At 45.7% G+C, this 15,298-nt stretch overlaps 1 long non-coding RNA gene across 1 annotated transcript; it reads left to right on the forward strand.

Moving 5' to 3' along the window:
* On the forward strand, window positions 7,060-8,446 carry LOC105372695 (uncharacterized). The gene is made up of 2 exons (NR_134566.1): window positions 7,060-7,158; window positions 8,002-8,446. It is a non-coding gene; the product is annotated as an uncharacterized LOC105372695 (long non-coding RNA).
* Window positions 8,447-15,298: the final 6,852 nt, after the last annotated feature.

Consider the following 15,298-nt stretch of genomic DNA (forward strand, 5'->3'; position numbering starts at 1 on the left):
GCTGTCACTTGACAGAGGGACAAAAGCATATCTTCTGCAGGGCACCTTAAAATATCTTCAATAAACATGTAAAACCGAGGCGGTGGGAGAAATGCAGCGAGCAGGAGACCCTCAGAGGCTCTTAGCAAAGCTGGTGCTGCCCGTGAGGGCAGGGTATTATGTAGAGTCAGGTTCATCGAGGTGTAACTTGCATATCGTCAAAATCTCCCTTATTAGGTGTGTAGTTCTTTGAATTTTGACAAATGCATACAGTCCTGTAGCCACCACTACAGTTGAGATCCTGAATATTTCCATTATTTCCAAAGTTTCCCGGGCTCCTTTGCAGTCCCCATCCCTCCAGGCAACCACTGATCTCTTTTCTGTCCCTACAGTTTTGCCTTTTGCAAAATATCACGGAAATGGCATGATACAGTATGTCACCTTTGGTGTCTGGCATAACGCTTTTCAGAGTCATCCACGTTATCTACGTAGTGCCTATAGTTCCATGCTTTTTATTGCTCAGCCATATCCCTTGCACGGACGCACCACAATTTATCCAACCGCCGGGTAATGAATAAGTGGGTTGTCTCCAGTTTTTGGTGATTATGAATAAAGCTACCGTGAACATTCATGTCCAGGTTGTTGTATGGAACTAAGTTTCCATTTCGTTTGGGTAAATATATAGGAGGGGAATGGCTGTGTCATAGGGTAAGTATACATTCAACTTTATAAGAAACTGCCACCGTTTTCCAAAGTGGCTGTGCCATTTTGCATTCCTACCAGCAATGAGTGAGAATTCCTGTTGCTCTGCATTTTTCCAGCACTTGGTATTACCAGGGGGTTTTGGTTTGTTATTTTAATCTTAACCATTCTGATAAGTGTGTAGTGGTATTTCGTTTTAACTTTTAATTTCCATTTCCCTGATAACTAATGCTGTTAAGTATCTTTTCAAAACATGCTTAATATCTTATTATCTTTTTTGATTATTTAAATCTTTTGCCTATTTTAAAAAATGAGTTGTTTTCTTTCATTGAGCTATAAAAGTTTGCATATATTCTGGATACAGGTACTATATCAGACACTGGTTTTGCAAATATTTTCTCCCAGTCTGTGATTTATCCTTTCATGATCTTGATAGTGTCTTTTGAAAAACATGTTTTGTGTTTTTTGGATGAATATCGATAATCAACTTTTTCCTGTTATAGCACATGATTTTTCTGTGTCCTATTAAAAGAAATATTCTCCCCACCCAAGGTCATGAAAAGCTTTTCCCATTTTTATAGAAGTTTTATAGTTCTGGGTTTTACATTTAGGTCTACAATCCATTTCGAGCTGATCTTTGTATATGATGTAAGATCTGGATTAAGGCATTTTGTGTTTTAGGTTTTTTTTGGTGGGGTGGCTGGGTTATGGACATACAATTGTTCCAGCAGCATCAGTTGAAAAGACTATTTTTTCTGAACTCTCTGCACCATTGATCTTGAACACTGCTTAGTACATAACAAATGCTCAATAAAATTGCTGACTGCATGAATGCGTGGTGAGCCCATGCCAGGACCCAGTCAACACATACATGTGACTTGGAGAGGAGACATTCAGAAAGTTGTTGGTGCGGTGGCTCATGCCTGTAATCCCAGCACTTTTGGAGGCTAAGGCAGGCGGATCACCTGAGGTCAGAAGTTCGAGACCATCCTGAGCAACATTTAGTCTCTACTAAAAATACAAAAAATTAGCCTGGCATGGTGGTGCATGCCTGTAATCCCAGCTACTCGGGAGGCTGAAGCGGGAGAATTGCTTGAACCCGGGAGGTGGAGGTTGCAGTGTGCCAAGATCAGGCCATTGCACTCCAGCCTGGGCAATAAGAGCAAAACTCTGTCTCAAAAAAAAAAAAAGATGGCATGGCTTCTTTGAAAAACAATTTGGCAGCTTCTTAAAACACTAAAGTAAAGGTGCATTCACCCTATGACCCATTGACTCCATGCTTAGGTTTTTATCCAGAGGAACAGATATATTTCCACAAAAACCCTATGCAAAAATGTTTGTGAAAGGTTTATGCATATTAGCTCAAAACTAGAAACAGAATCGATGTTTATCAACTCATGAGTGGATCATCAAAATGTGGTATAATCCCTGGGAGAAGAATTAACTAGGAAGAGGAGATAAGAAAATGTCTGGGATGATGGAAATCATCTGTGCCTTGATGTGTCTCCATCAAAGTTGACTATCACACTTAAGATCTGAATGTTTCACTGTATATAAATTATACTTCAATTTTATATTTTTAAAATTAAAAAAGAAAATTATCATGATTTCTTCTCCAAAAGCAGCAATTCTTGGGCTCACCATGCTGAAAGGGAGCAACGACTGCCTACCCACAGAGGGCCTGAGACCAGGACATCAGCTCTTACGGCAGAAAATAAAGTTAGGAATAGGGCTGAGCTGGGCGAGGTCTTCTGGCCTCAGCTCTCTGCTGATCCCCACGATGTACCTGCCTGCATCCTCACTACACTCTGTTCGCATCTACAAACACCTGCCACTGCAGGGAGGCTACCAGGAGAAGAAGAAACTCAACTGTAAAGATGCAAGGAGGGCTCATGGTCCCTGGCCATGGCTGCCCTGCCCCACGGTTTTGGGCACACAAAGGAGGACCTCACCCAGTGGCCATACCATAAGGGGCCACAGTGCAGGGAAGGCCCCCGGGACTAGCAAGGCCATATGCTCAGGGACCAAGTTCATCCTTTCACATCACTTGGCTGCCTCCCTTGTCACCATCTCCTTGGTAAAGGAGGTAGCACAAGGATGCGGTTTGAGTTTCCAGAAGGCACCTCCTGGAGCCTCCTTACTCAGCTCAGAGTATGACCCCAGAGCTGCAGGCAGAGGACTCACTCGTCCATGTGGAGCGTCAGTGGAGTTTAGGGTTCCCTGGCAGGTGCTCTCTTTACCCTTCCAAACCCTTGAAGACCTGGGTCAGGTGAAACGCAAACTCTACCCAGCAGAGATTTTGCCATCTTCTCTCTGCCGTGTCTCCATGCTCAGGGCAGTGCTCGGGCACATAGTTTGGATCTATCAGCATTTGATGAATGAATGAATAAATAAATAGCGGATTTTGCGTGTGACAGAATGCAAGGAAAAGGCAAGAACTGGGAGAAGGAAATGAAAACTTTTGACTATTTCTACCATTCATAGTTATATTTTCTCCTATAGAACTCCATCTGTTTTCAAGAAGATGGATATTTTCTAGGCTGACTGAGAAGGGCAAACCCTAAAAGGAGACTGCTTACCTTTGGATAGGTAATCACTATCTCCCCAAATCCATATTTTGGAAAGTCTTTATTCGAGATGCCATTTGGAAATCTTATTTGCAAATCAGCCATCTACTTTTTATTTAGTATCTTACTAAATATCTGGATTTTAAATCATCTATCGAAAGTACCCCTCCCCACTTCACCCCATCAGAATAATGCTTATGAATTAAAATTCTCTCCGACACAAACATTTTTTAATTAGATGGAGACCTTGGAACCTGGTAACTATATTTCTTCCCTGAGTACTGTGTGGGTGATTACAAGAAGATGAAATGGAGAATATCGGAAAGAAGATTGGCAAAGAAGGGAAGCTGAGATGGCACTTGGCATGTCCTAAGTTCTCAATTGCCTGCCCAATCTGAAGTTCCCAATGTGAAGAGGCACTCAGACACCCTCGGTACTCACAGAGTAACAAATTGGCATCCGGCTTCCTGGCAAAAATCTGGGAGATACAACCACTTACTGAGATTTGAGTGTCTTTCTGTACTAGTGGTTCTCTGCAAAGGAAGGAGTGATTTTTTTTTTTTTTTTTTTTTTTTTTTTTTTTTTTTTTTTTTTTTTTGAGACAGAGTCTTGCTTTGTCGCCCAGGCTGGAGTGCAGTGGCGCGATCTCGGCTCCCTGAAAGCTCTGCCTCCTCGGTTCACACCATTCTCCTGCCTCAGCCTCCCGAGTAGCTGGGACTACAGGTGCCCGCTACCACACCCAGCTAACTTTTTGTATTTTTTAGTAGAGACGGGATTTCACCGTGTTAGCCAGGATGGTCTTGATCTCCTGACCTTGTGATCTGCCTGCCTTGGCCTCCCAAAGTGCTGGGATTATAGGCGTGAGCCACTGTGCCTAGCCTTGTCTTCATTATTTTTCTAAAGACCATTGAGTCTATGTTCTGTTAATGCTTCTTTCAAATTATATGGAATGATGATGATGAGGATGTTGGTGATGATAATTTCAGGGTCAAGGGACGAACTCTCTTTTACAAAGTTGAAAGGATGCTAGAAACTGCTTCAGAAAGCCTGACAGCTGGCTCATCTGGGGAACCATGATCCTGCCCACCCCACGATATGTGGCGTATTTCATGGAGACACCTGCCCAGCCTGCACATCATACTGGGGATCAGTTGCACACCTGGGGTGCAGCCCGTGCTCCTTTCCTTGTCAGCCTCAGCTTCCCCATTTGTACAATGGGAGTGTTGGTGTCTGATTTAACTGAATGGGGTTGCTATAGGGTGATCTGCAGGTGGCAAACCCAGGTGGCATCTCCACGTTGGGAATTGGGAGGCGGGGGCTGAGCAAGGCTGTAAGGGATGAGAGAAACCACGTGCAGGGGGAGTGCTAAAGATTTCAGCACCAAGCTGGGAGAAAAAGAGGGTGAGAGGAGAGAAGGTAGGAAGTAGGAGAGTGTGACTGTCCACAAAGAGAAGGCAAAAAAAGGAGAAGAGGAGAGAACAAGAGAAAGAAAATGAGAAGGGAGAGCTGGTGAGTAACAGAGCGAGCCAGAAACAAGAAACAGAGAAAATCACAGAGAGAGAGAGAAAGAAGAAAAAAGAGGAGGCTTGGAAAGAATAGAAGAGGGGAATAGAGGGTAGAGTGGAAGGAGGAAAGAGAGAGAAGTGGTGGGAAAAGGAGGAGGAAGAGGAAGAAAAGGAGAGCAATGAAAAGCCAAAGAAATTCAGTGAGGAAACCTAATGCAGACAGTAGAGATGATCTTAGGAAAAGCCCTAAGCAGAACAGCTGTGTGTGCTGGGAGATAGGACTTAAGATGAAAATAGAGGTTGTTAATTTGACTCAGGGTAAGTTTTTGAATCTTTACTGTGTTGAGATAAGACCATCCCAGGAAAAGACTACCCAGTCGAAGTCTGCGGACCCAGGCCTTCTTTGGCTTCTGCCACCAAGAGCTGTGTGACCCTAGTTACAAGGCAGCAAAACCCCCAGCACAGCCCCTGATGTGCAGCCTGTGCTCCTTTCCTTGGCAGCCTCAGCTTCCCCATCTGTACAACGGGAGTGCTGGTGTCTGGTTTAACCTAATAGGACTGCTATAAGGAAAAAGTGTGAAATGCTTGGAAAGCTAAGAGTGTACACGAGTGGAAGGGGGCATCGTTCTTCCTATTTCCTGCTCTTTTCATTTTTTATTTGCATTTTAGGGCAGAGGTGAGCCAACTCTTCCTCTCAAGCAAGCCTGGGTTGGCTCGGTGGGTTTGGCTCTATTCCTGAACTGTGCCCATAGCAGTCAATTATTCTCCAGGACAAGGTGACCCAGGTATCAAGCCCAATTATTTCTGAGGTCCTCTTCCTCAATGCAACCATTCTCCTTTAAAAAGAAACGGAGGCACAGGAACCCTAGCTCCCCTGCCCAAAGATACCGAGCATGTCTAGGGCAAAGTCAGTATTTACCAAAACTCAGCATTTCCCCTGAAGAGTCAGGTGGACACGTAGATTGCTGGGCTTACCTTTGCAGAAAGCAGGAGGCAGCCCCAGGAATGGAAAATGCTAAAAGATCCTGAGACTGACAAGAAAACCACAGTATCTGGCCAGACCTCAGCAACTGCTTTTCTCCACAGAAGATTCAGCAAGTAAATCAACCAGATGACACGGATGCGGAGTAGAAATCCATGTGCTGCCCTGTGGCATTGAGGGCAGCCCCGAGGCACAGCGGAAACACAGGCTGAAAGATGCAAGACACGCTGGGCGCGGTGGCTCACACCTGTAATCCCAGCACTTTGGGAGGCTGAGACGGGTGGATAACAAGGTCAGGAGTTCAAGACCTTCCTGGCCAAGATGGTGAAACCATCTTGTATTTTTGTAAAAATACAAAAAATGAGCCAGGTGTGGTGGTGGGCACCTGTAATCCCAGCTACTCAGGAGGCTGAGGCAGGAGAATCACTTGAACCCGGGAGGGAGAGGTTGCAGTGAGCTGAGATCGCACCACTGCACTCCAGCCTGGGCGACAGAGTGAGACTCTGTCTCAAAAAAAAAAAAAGGTGCAAGACAACGTCCATGAACATCAGTGAGTAAATGCCACAGGACAGAATAGCAATCTCAGGCCCTGGGGCAGGAAGACTGTTGGGATTTGGGGAGGGTGGGGAGTTGGGTTTTTTAATTTGTTTGTGCTTTTCTTCGCTTTTATGATGCACCCCCATTGCCAGAAATTCATTACAACCCTTTGGGGTATTAGGAAATTGGATAAATAACAAGACTAATTTGTTAAGGTCTGTCGAGAGAGAAAAGAAAGCAGAATCTGTCAACCGCACAATGATAAGGAGACAGGGTCATGCTCTGCGGTGGATCCTGGCCCGAGGGGCTCTCAGTGGGTCTGAGATTTAAACAGAAAAAAAAAGTCAAGGGCAGAGCCCATTAAAGAGATCCCGGGCAGTGAAGGCAAGGCACTCCCACTGGTCAAAGACAGGGCCATTCGGGCATCAGTGGGATGGCTGCCAGGAATGGAAACATTGAAAGCTCACTGGGCATCTTGGAAGGATGCTAGGGAACTAACTCACTATTCCAAAAACTGGTAAATAAAGGGGAAAAATCAAGCATTTATCTTGCTTTTTAAAAAAAAAAAAACATAAGAACTGTGTATCAGGGAAATTGGATAGTTAATGAGGGGAAGTTTCTCTTTATAGAAGTCTTTCAGGCAATAAATAAAGAAGACACACTAGAACTTGAATATTGCCATTTTAAGTGAAACCATGGGGATGCAATCAGCAGAATGTAGACTATGAAAAATTCTACAGCATCTGATCAGATTCCTTCAACCGGTAAATTGCAGGGATAGAGAGAGTATCTGTAGATTAAGACTTAGAAGATATATCAACCAAGTAACCACTTACAAAACATAGACTGGATTTGGATCCTGAATTGAACACATTTTCTTTTAAAGGTATTAGCCATTCAAGAAAACCTGGAGGCAGATTTGATATTTGATACTGAGGAATTGATAATTCGTTGTGATAATTGTATTGTTTATGTCTTTTGAAGAGCCCACATCTTTTAGAGATATACACAGAAATATTCGTGGTGTTTAGCATTTTCTCCAAAATAACTCATGGGCAGGGGAGACAGAGGGGGGTCAACTATTGAGGATGGTGAGGGATACATGGGGGTTTATGGTACTATTCTCTCTACTGTGCATATGTTTGATATTTTCCATATATATACATATATATATGTATATATATTCGAGATGGAGTCTCGCTGTGTCACCCAGGCTGGAGTGCAATGGCGCGATCTCAGCTCACTGCAACCTCCGTTTCCCAGGTTCAAGCATTTCTCCTGCCTTAGCCTCTTGAGTAGCTGGGATTGCAGGCACACGCTGCCATGCCCGGCTATGTTTTTTTTTTTTTTTTTTTTTCTTTTTCTATTTTTAGTAGAGACAGGGTTTCACCATGTTGGTCAGGCTGGTCTTGAACTCCTGACCTGGTGATCCACCCACCTCAGCCTCCCAAAGTGCTGGGATTACAGGCGTAAGCCACTGTGCCAGGCCTGTTTTCCATATTTTTTTTAAAAAAAGCAATCAACAATCCAGGAAGCGGGGCCTATGCAGGAACATCACCTCAAGGCCAAGCTTATAAAATCTATAGTTGATGAAATACTGCAAAGTGTTCATCAGCCCATCATCAAGAAGTGCTGGAGCGATGATGTCAACGATCATGCCAGTGAGGGGCTCTGGCAGCTGATTCCAAAGCCAGTGTAATATCTGATGCCTACTCACTGTCACCCCCAGAGTCCTGAGGGCCAAGATGGCAAACTGGTTCCACCAAGCCAAGCAAGCCCAAACCATCGCTACCCAGGATGGAAGCCTCATTTCGCCAGGGCCACCCATGAGGCAAGCGAATGAAATATTCACCTGGACTCACCATCATCAACACTTCAAGAAAACTGTGGTTTGGATGATCAAAACCATTTACCATCCCAGCCAGCCTGCCCCCTTCCAAAAGAAAGAGCATGTTTCAGCACCAACTCCTACAAAGAAGAGTGACTGCTTTAAAACAGGGACGGTCAGATGGGCTAATTTCCTGAATGTTTCCCAAATATTTCTTTTCATTTCTTCCTATAAGAGATGCTTTCCACAAATACCAAGGTATTGATTTTCCAATTGATCGAGGTGGAGAATGTTTCATACAGTTATGACTCCTGACAAGTGGGGAATAAAAAGCCAATCATAATGAGTTCATTTACTTGGCTTGATATTACTTTATAACACAATGCATACCCAACACACCCTTTCAAGGACATCACCCAGCTAGGCTGCCAGCTCTTCATGATGAGGCCGCTTAATGCTGAAATCCATCTTACTGCATGATGTGTGGATTTTAAAATCATCCTTAGTGGGCTTTAAAAAAAAAATGCCATAGCCATGCTATGGATTCTTCCCCTACACCCATGAAGACTAGATTGATAGAGTGAGAATGACTCAGATTTGGGGATGGGGGTTATAGAGGGTGTTTGTTGATGAATGAAGTGGGGGGAATACAGTGAAAGCCTAATTGTCAGTTATAAATATGCTGTATTTTCCCTATTGATTATATGACATCGAAATTAAAAGGATTACCTTATTAGATCATATTTAGGCATAAGTATGCCCTTCGTGCTTGACTCGGGGCACTTGCAAGAGACTAATTATTTGAGATGAACAGCACAGTCTGTTCAGCGCCCCAGACGGTCCAAGCGCTGCCCCTATTCCTATGCAGATGCTGTTGGACTCTTCAGTCTCTTTCATGAAGTTCATAGAGATTCTCTGTTCTGACCAGCCTCCTGTGGCTACACAGAGCCCTCCTATACATCTTCTCAGCAAATTAGGAGATGAGGCCTAAATAGGACTTCTGTTTGAGGATTTGGATGGCTGGCGCATCGTTTTCCATAAGCTTTTTGGGGCAAGGTCTGGAGTTGAGTGGTCACCAACAGAGCCTGGCACTTCTTTAAATAAGATGTCTTACAACAAAATCCCAGCGCTCCAGCGCTCCCAGGAAATGAATCACGGAGGTCTGCCCGAGGTGACTCCGTGGAGAGCAGAGCATTTATCCCCGTGGACACCACAAAGCCTTCTTGTTCATCTTTTTGTGTGACTTGTTTAAAAAAATAGATTCCTGCTCTTCCCTGCCTTCTGAACAGTGTCTTTTGAGCACAATTTAGTTCTTCCTTGATGAGTGAGGTCAGCCCTTCCCTCACCTTCCAGAGCTCAGCCCAACTAGGCTGCAGGGCAGACGGCCCCATGGTCTGCACATTTCTCATGAGAATGAGCTATAAGGGACAAAGCCCCATCCTGCCTCTCTCCATTGACTGTGGCTGAGCAGCATGAGCCTTCTGGACCTCAGGGTCCTCGTCTGAGAAGGGTGCTTCTTAGTGGGGCCAGAGCAGGAATTCAGTGAACAAGTAAAGTGATCATAATGCTGAAAATGCATGGGTCATTGTGGGGCGATGCTAGGCCTCCGGGAATGCCAATCTTAGCCACTCTTGACTATCATAACGCCAATTTCTTGCATCAGAGATTCTTGGCTAGCCACATTTGCTCCCCACATGCTTAGACTGTGGTTACTAGGGACTCCTCCCATTTGCTATTGAATTCCTCTTTGCTCTAAAACTGAGGTCTGGGCCCACCCACCCAAATGGAGTGAAGGTGGTGTCCGTCCCCACTTACCCCACTGTACCTGCTGTCACCACCTTCTCTCTGCCTGCTCGGGGTGGGTGGGGCCCTCTCCACATGCCTCCTTTTCCTCAAGGGTGACCTGGTGAGATGAGATGTTCCAATAGCCCAATGTTGACCCCAAGATGGGGACCCATTCCAGCCCCATCATTCCTTCTCTGTGTGACCTTGGACAGGTCATCCCACCTCTCTGAGCCTCAGTATTCTCCTCTGGAAAATGGAGCTACAACCCTTAAGCTTCAGGGTTGCATCTAAAGAGTTAGGATCAAAATAGATAAACTCTTGCAAATTCCCAGCACTTGGCAGGGGCTCCGGAGGGGGGCAATTAATCTCCCCATTCGTCCAGGCAAGGTGCAACCAGCCTTTGATTTTGGCTGAGTTGTTTAATTTTCACTTCTGCTAACAGCCTCCCTTTAATGTCACCTCTCTCCTCATTCATTTCTGGCTTTCCAAGCTACCACGGAAACCACTCTAGGCAAAACAGTAAAAGTGAATGATAAGTCAGAGCCAGGTTCATTCTCGGTAATATAGAACTTGGCCACCAAAGCAATTACTTAATGTAATGTTCCCCAGGAAGGGAAGGGGATGCTGAGCTTATTGAGTGGGTGCCTACCATGTGCCAGGCCCTGAGCCAGCCACTTCATCTCCTCCAAGCCTCCCTGGCGCACAGATCCCAGAGGTTTGCACTTCTCTGACCCACTAATCATGGGCCATTATTCCATCCCTACCTTTAGACAAGGCAACTCTTGGCCATTACATTTCCTTAACACTCCAAGCCACTGTGCCAGGTCTACAGGCTGCAGATAGATAGAGGATCCATTTTCTGGCAAGCTTGGCCAGTGGGCATGTTCTGTTCCCTTGCCACACCTTGGTAGAGGCAGGAATGACCACCAGGTGTACTTGGTGGAGAGTCTGCCCCAGCTGTGGACTGCAGAAAGAACTCAGGCTGCAGGGCTGTCCAGGAAGGACCTCAGGCTGAAAGCAAGTAGGCTGGAACTCTAGACCCCAGGCAGGCCCCTGCACCTTGCTGAGTCTCAGTTTCCCCCTCTGTAAAAGACCAGGATGGAGCAGGGCCATGTTTCCAACTCCCTTGTAGTCCGTCCCCACCATGAGCCTCACCATCCCTCAGATTAGCCTGGGGCAGGTTGGAGCCGCAGAGGAGTAGTGGGTGCCATCGGTTCTGGGCCCACAGGCCTGAGCTCTGTTCCCAGAGTCCTGCCCCTTCATAGTCTTGAGCCCTAAGAAGCTGTGCTTCTCACAAGTTCCCCTCCTGCTTCATTTCTATGCCTGCCCCTAGCAGAGCTCCTTCTAGAGCTCCCTGCAACATGAGCCAACAGCTGTCTGCTTCTCCACCTGCAGACAGAGGTGGAACAGAGGCTCTGTTCCATCATGTTCTCTTGCATACACCATGAACAGGCCACGAGGCCAAAGGAAAGCCAGCCTGGGGGCCAGCCTGGCCCCTGCTGCCTGCCCTGCCCTGGGCTCCCTCCCACCTCGTGGCCTCTGGTTTGCTGTGCCCTCTTCCTGGGGTGTTCTTCCCTTGATATCCTCACGGTTCCGGCCCTCATTCTCTCGTGGTCTCCCCTGACCTCCTAGTGCTTAACGCCACCCAACCCTCTCGGCCCCCTCACCAGCCTCCACCCTTCCCCACAGCTCTTGCCACCACCTCCCATTGCAAGTATCTCTGCTTGCTTGCATATGTCCATCTGCTCCTTTGGAATCTCATCTGTGGGGTCTCACTGCCTGCCCAGCTCCCAGCACAGTGCCTGACACAGAACAGCCATCCATCAATGTTTGTTGAATGAATGAATGAATGGAGGAAACGTAGAATCTTAGATGAGTCTTTTGTGTCCCTCCCACCCAGGGCCTCTTTAAAATAGCAAGAGTTGCACTAGATGGCAATTTTCCAATCACTGTGTCTGAATGGTTCACTCAACAACTCTTCTTAGAGTTGGTTCTTTTTAGAGAAGGTTCTATGAAGGCAGGCTCTGGAGAAATCCAGACTCAGTTCCTGTCTTCCACCAAGGAGCTCGCACTGGGGTGTGGAGAGGCTCTGGTCTGGAATGAAGCTCTCCTCTGAGCAGTTTGAGGAGTAGGCAGAGGACATGACACATGACAGTAGGTACAGCATCTTGTGGGTCCCCGTCACACATTCCCAAACAGCAGAAACACAGGAGGCACCAGGTCAGAATCTCATGCAGGGCAGGGACACCACCCAGAGGATGAAACACAGCGAGTGCATGGGGGAAACCTTTCTGGGAAGTGCGGCGTCTGCAGGTCTCCTTAGCTTGGTTTTCATTCCCTGGCTGAGATCGGAGCATTTCAAATTAGGGTAAAAAGGGAGTTTTAAAAAACACTCACTGGACCTTAAATGATAGGCCTACACTCTGTAACAGAGAGGAAAAAAGGTCTCAAAACCTGCCCCTGAGTCTCTAAACCCCAACAGCACACATTTTCTGTGAAGGCCATTGACCACCTACAGCCTGAGCCTGACGATCGCAGAGGCCACGAGCTTCAGGATGTGTATTTCCAGAATGCACCCAGCAACACTTGAGTCCCGTTAACCACTTCTAGAAATTTCAGCAAACGTGTGGTCAGCATGTTCATTGCCGAGTCTCCATCACATGCTTCCTCCTCCGAGGGGAAGAGAAACCTTTGACAGGCTGCCCAAGCACCCAGCGATGGTGTGGGGTCCAGTTTCTTGTTTAAAACAATATGCAGACCTCTGCATTAAAGAGGAAGCCAGAACAAAGCAGAGAAAACCAGGAAGTGGTAGATTTTTTTTTTAATGCCATTTTCTGATAATACTAAATACCTATAGCGAGGCCCCTCTGTTTCCAGACCAGGCTCCCTCTTCTCTGCTTCCCAAGTTTTCTGTATCACTTTCTGCCATAACATCACTCTCCCCATACTCCAGGTATCTGTTAATATTCCTGTGTCCCCCTCTGGACCAGGGATTGGAAAACTGCTTCTGTGAAGGGGAACATAGTAAATATTTTAGACTGTGTGGGTCATATGGCTGCTGTCACACTAGTCAACTTGCATGGTGGCATGAAGGTGGCCATGGACAATACGTAGATGGCTTTATCCACAAAAACAGGAGTGTTGGACTTGGCCCAGGGGCCAGGATTGGTTGACTTCTGTCTTGGATTGGGTTCCTTGAGGGGAGAAAGACCAATTATTTCCTTTTATCACTTCCATGCTTATCCCAGTGTTTGGCACATAAAAGGCATTCACTAAATGCTCACTGATTGATGCACAAATGAATAAAGAACAAAACTATATGTCCAAGAAGAGTTGAAGTTTAACCAAGAGAAGCCGTCCTACATTTGTTGTTCTTTAACAGTTGAGAAAGATTCTACTTTGGAAAAATGAAAGCAACTAGCATGTATTAAGTACTCAGAATGTGTCAGGTACTGTGCTAAGTGCCCCACATTTCTTATTTTGATCTCAACCATAAGCTGAATCAAGCACATGCATGTTCCTGAAATCACCTGTAAGCAGCTTATTCCCTAAGTAAGCAAACACAGAAATCTCTGTGACTCTTCATTTGCAAACAAGGCATTCACTGAAAGTGCAGTGGCAACTGCCAACCCAGCCAGTATCAGAATCATCATGTTATTCTGAATTTGAAGGTCCAACTAACATAAATGGCTCCCCATGGCATCGGAGTAAAATGCCTAGCTGCTTCACAGGAGCAAGCAGGGAGAGGGTGGGAAATCAGCAGCGAGTCCACCCACCTCTGGGACAGTCAGCTGCCACTTTTCTGCCTGCCCCCAACATAAAATGTCAGGGAGGCATTTGTTGAATCAGGTCAACAGTCTCAATTAGTTTTTGTTGTTGTTGTTGTTGTTTTTGGCATGTTTTTATAAAGACAGGGTTTCACTATGTTGCCCAGGTTAGTCTCAAACTCCTGGTCTCAAGCAATCCTCCCGCCTCAGCCTCTCAAAGTGCTGGCATTACAGGTGTGAGCCACTGTGCCTGGCCTCAATTAATTTCTTTTTTAAATGAATCAACTGTTGGCCTGAAAGCCCAGGATTCTTGGTAACACTCAGAGCAACCCCAGATGCATCATGCAGGACTTCTAGGGGAAAGTGACATCTTCAACTTCATGGCGCCTTCCCCCAGGCTGTCCATACTTTGTCTCCCCAGCTCACCCAGCACAATGCTGCCTGCTTTGTCCTCTAAGTTCTGAGTTGCACCCTTTTCCCTCGTCAGGCCCCAGGCTAAAAATCAAAGGCAGAGGACGCTTAGGCATTGAAGCATGGGAAATGGAGTGTCACCTGGCCAGCTGGTTTTATCAAAGCCTGTAAGTAAAATGGGTTCAAGCCACTAGGAAATATTGGGTAGGAGGCATGGTCATTGACTTGGTCATTTAAAAAAATCTAGCTTGACTTGGTTCATTCTACACTGTTGGGAATGACGTCTATGCTTCTCTCATCTTCTCAGGCACAATTGACTCCAGAAATCCAACTAAAAGAATGCCTTTCCCTTCATGATTTAGCTCTTATCTCTTTTGATGTTTCCAAATTGTAACCTTAAGCCTGCGAGGAGGCGGGGTGGAGGGGAGAGGAGAAAGAGGGAGACTCCTCTGTTCACAAAAGTATTCATTTCCACTGGATTTATTTGACAGCAAACTCCCTAATCAATTTTTAATATTGTGCTTATTTATTATATTAACTAAACAATGCATGCACATACTTAAAAAATATTTCAAAAGGCACAAAAGGGTAAACAGTGAAAAGCAACTCTCCTTCCCACGTTTGTCTCCCTCTCTCCCTGAGGCAAGCACCACTGAAGGTTTCTTCTCTGCTCTTCCAAAGATATGCTTTGCTTATAAAAGCATGTGCATATATATCTTTTTCTTAAACAAATGGTAGCACATTCTATACACAGTATTCTGCACTTTGCTTTCTTCACTTGGTGATAGATCTTGAAGCTCATTCCATATCAGTATATATAGAGCTGCCTCATTCTTTTTAATGGCTGCATAGCATTATGCTACTGAGACAGACCACTGTTTGTTTAACCGGTCCCCTAGTGATGGGCATTCATTCCCTGCTGGAGTTTTTTAGAGAATGAGATTAACACTAGATGAGCAGGAGCACGGCACCTGAACAAGGTGAGGCGTCACTAGCACAGGCAAGCAGAGGACAAAACTCCTTGCAGAAGGAAATCTTAAAGAAAAGAACATCCAACAGGAGCTGCACATCAGTTTCCTCCTTCGAGTTGCTGGGGGATATAGATCACAAAGCCTTTATAATGTTCGAAATGAGCAGGGGCTGGTGCTTCTGGGACGTTACAATGGCAATCTGGTCCCACACACTGTCAGCCTCCTCCATATAGTGAAAACAACAGGCCCACCACAGAAAACCCT

Source organism: Homo sapiens, chromosome 20 (assembly GCF_000001405.40).
Source record: "Homo sapiens chromosome 20, GRCh38.p14 Primary Assembly".
Classification (NCBI taxonomy): Eukaryota; Metazoa; Chordata; class Mammalia; order Primates; family Hominidae; genus Homo; species Homo sapiens.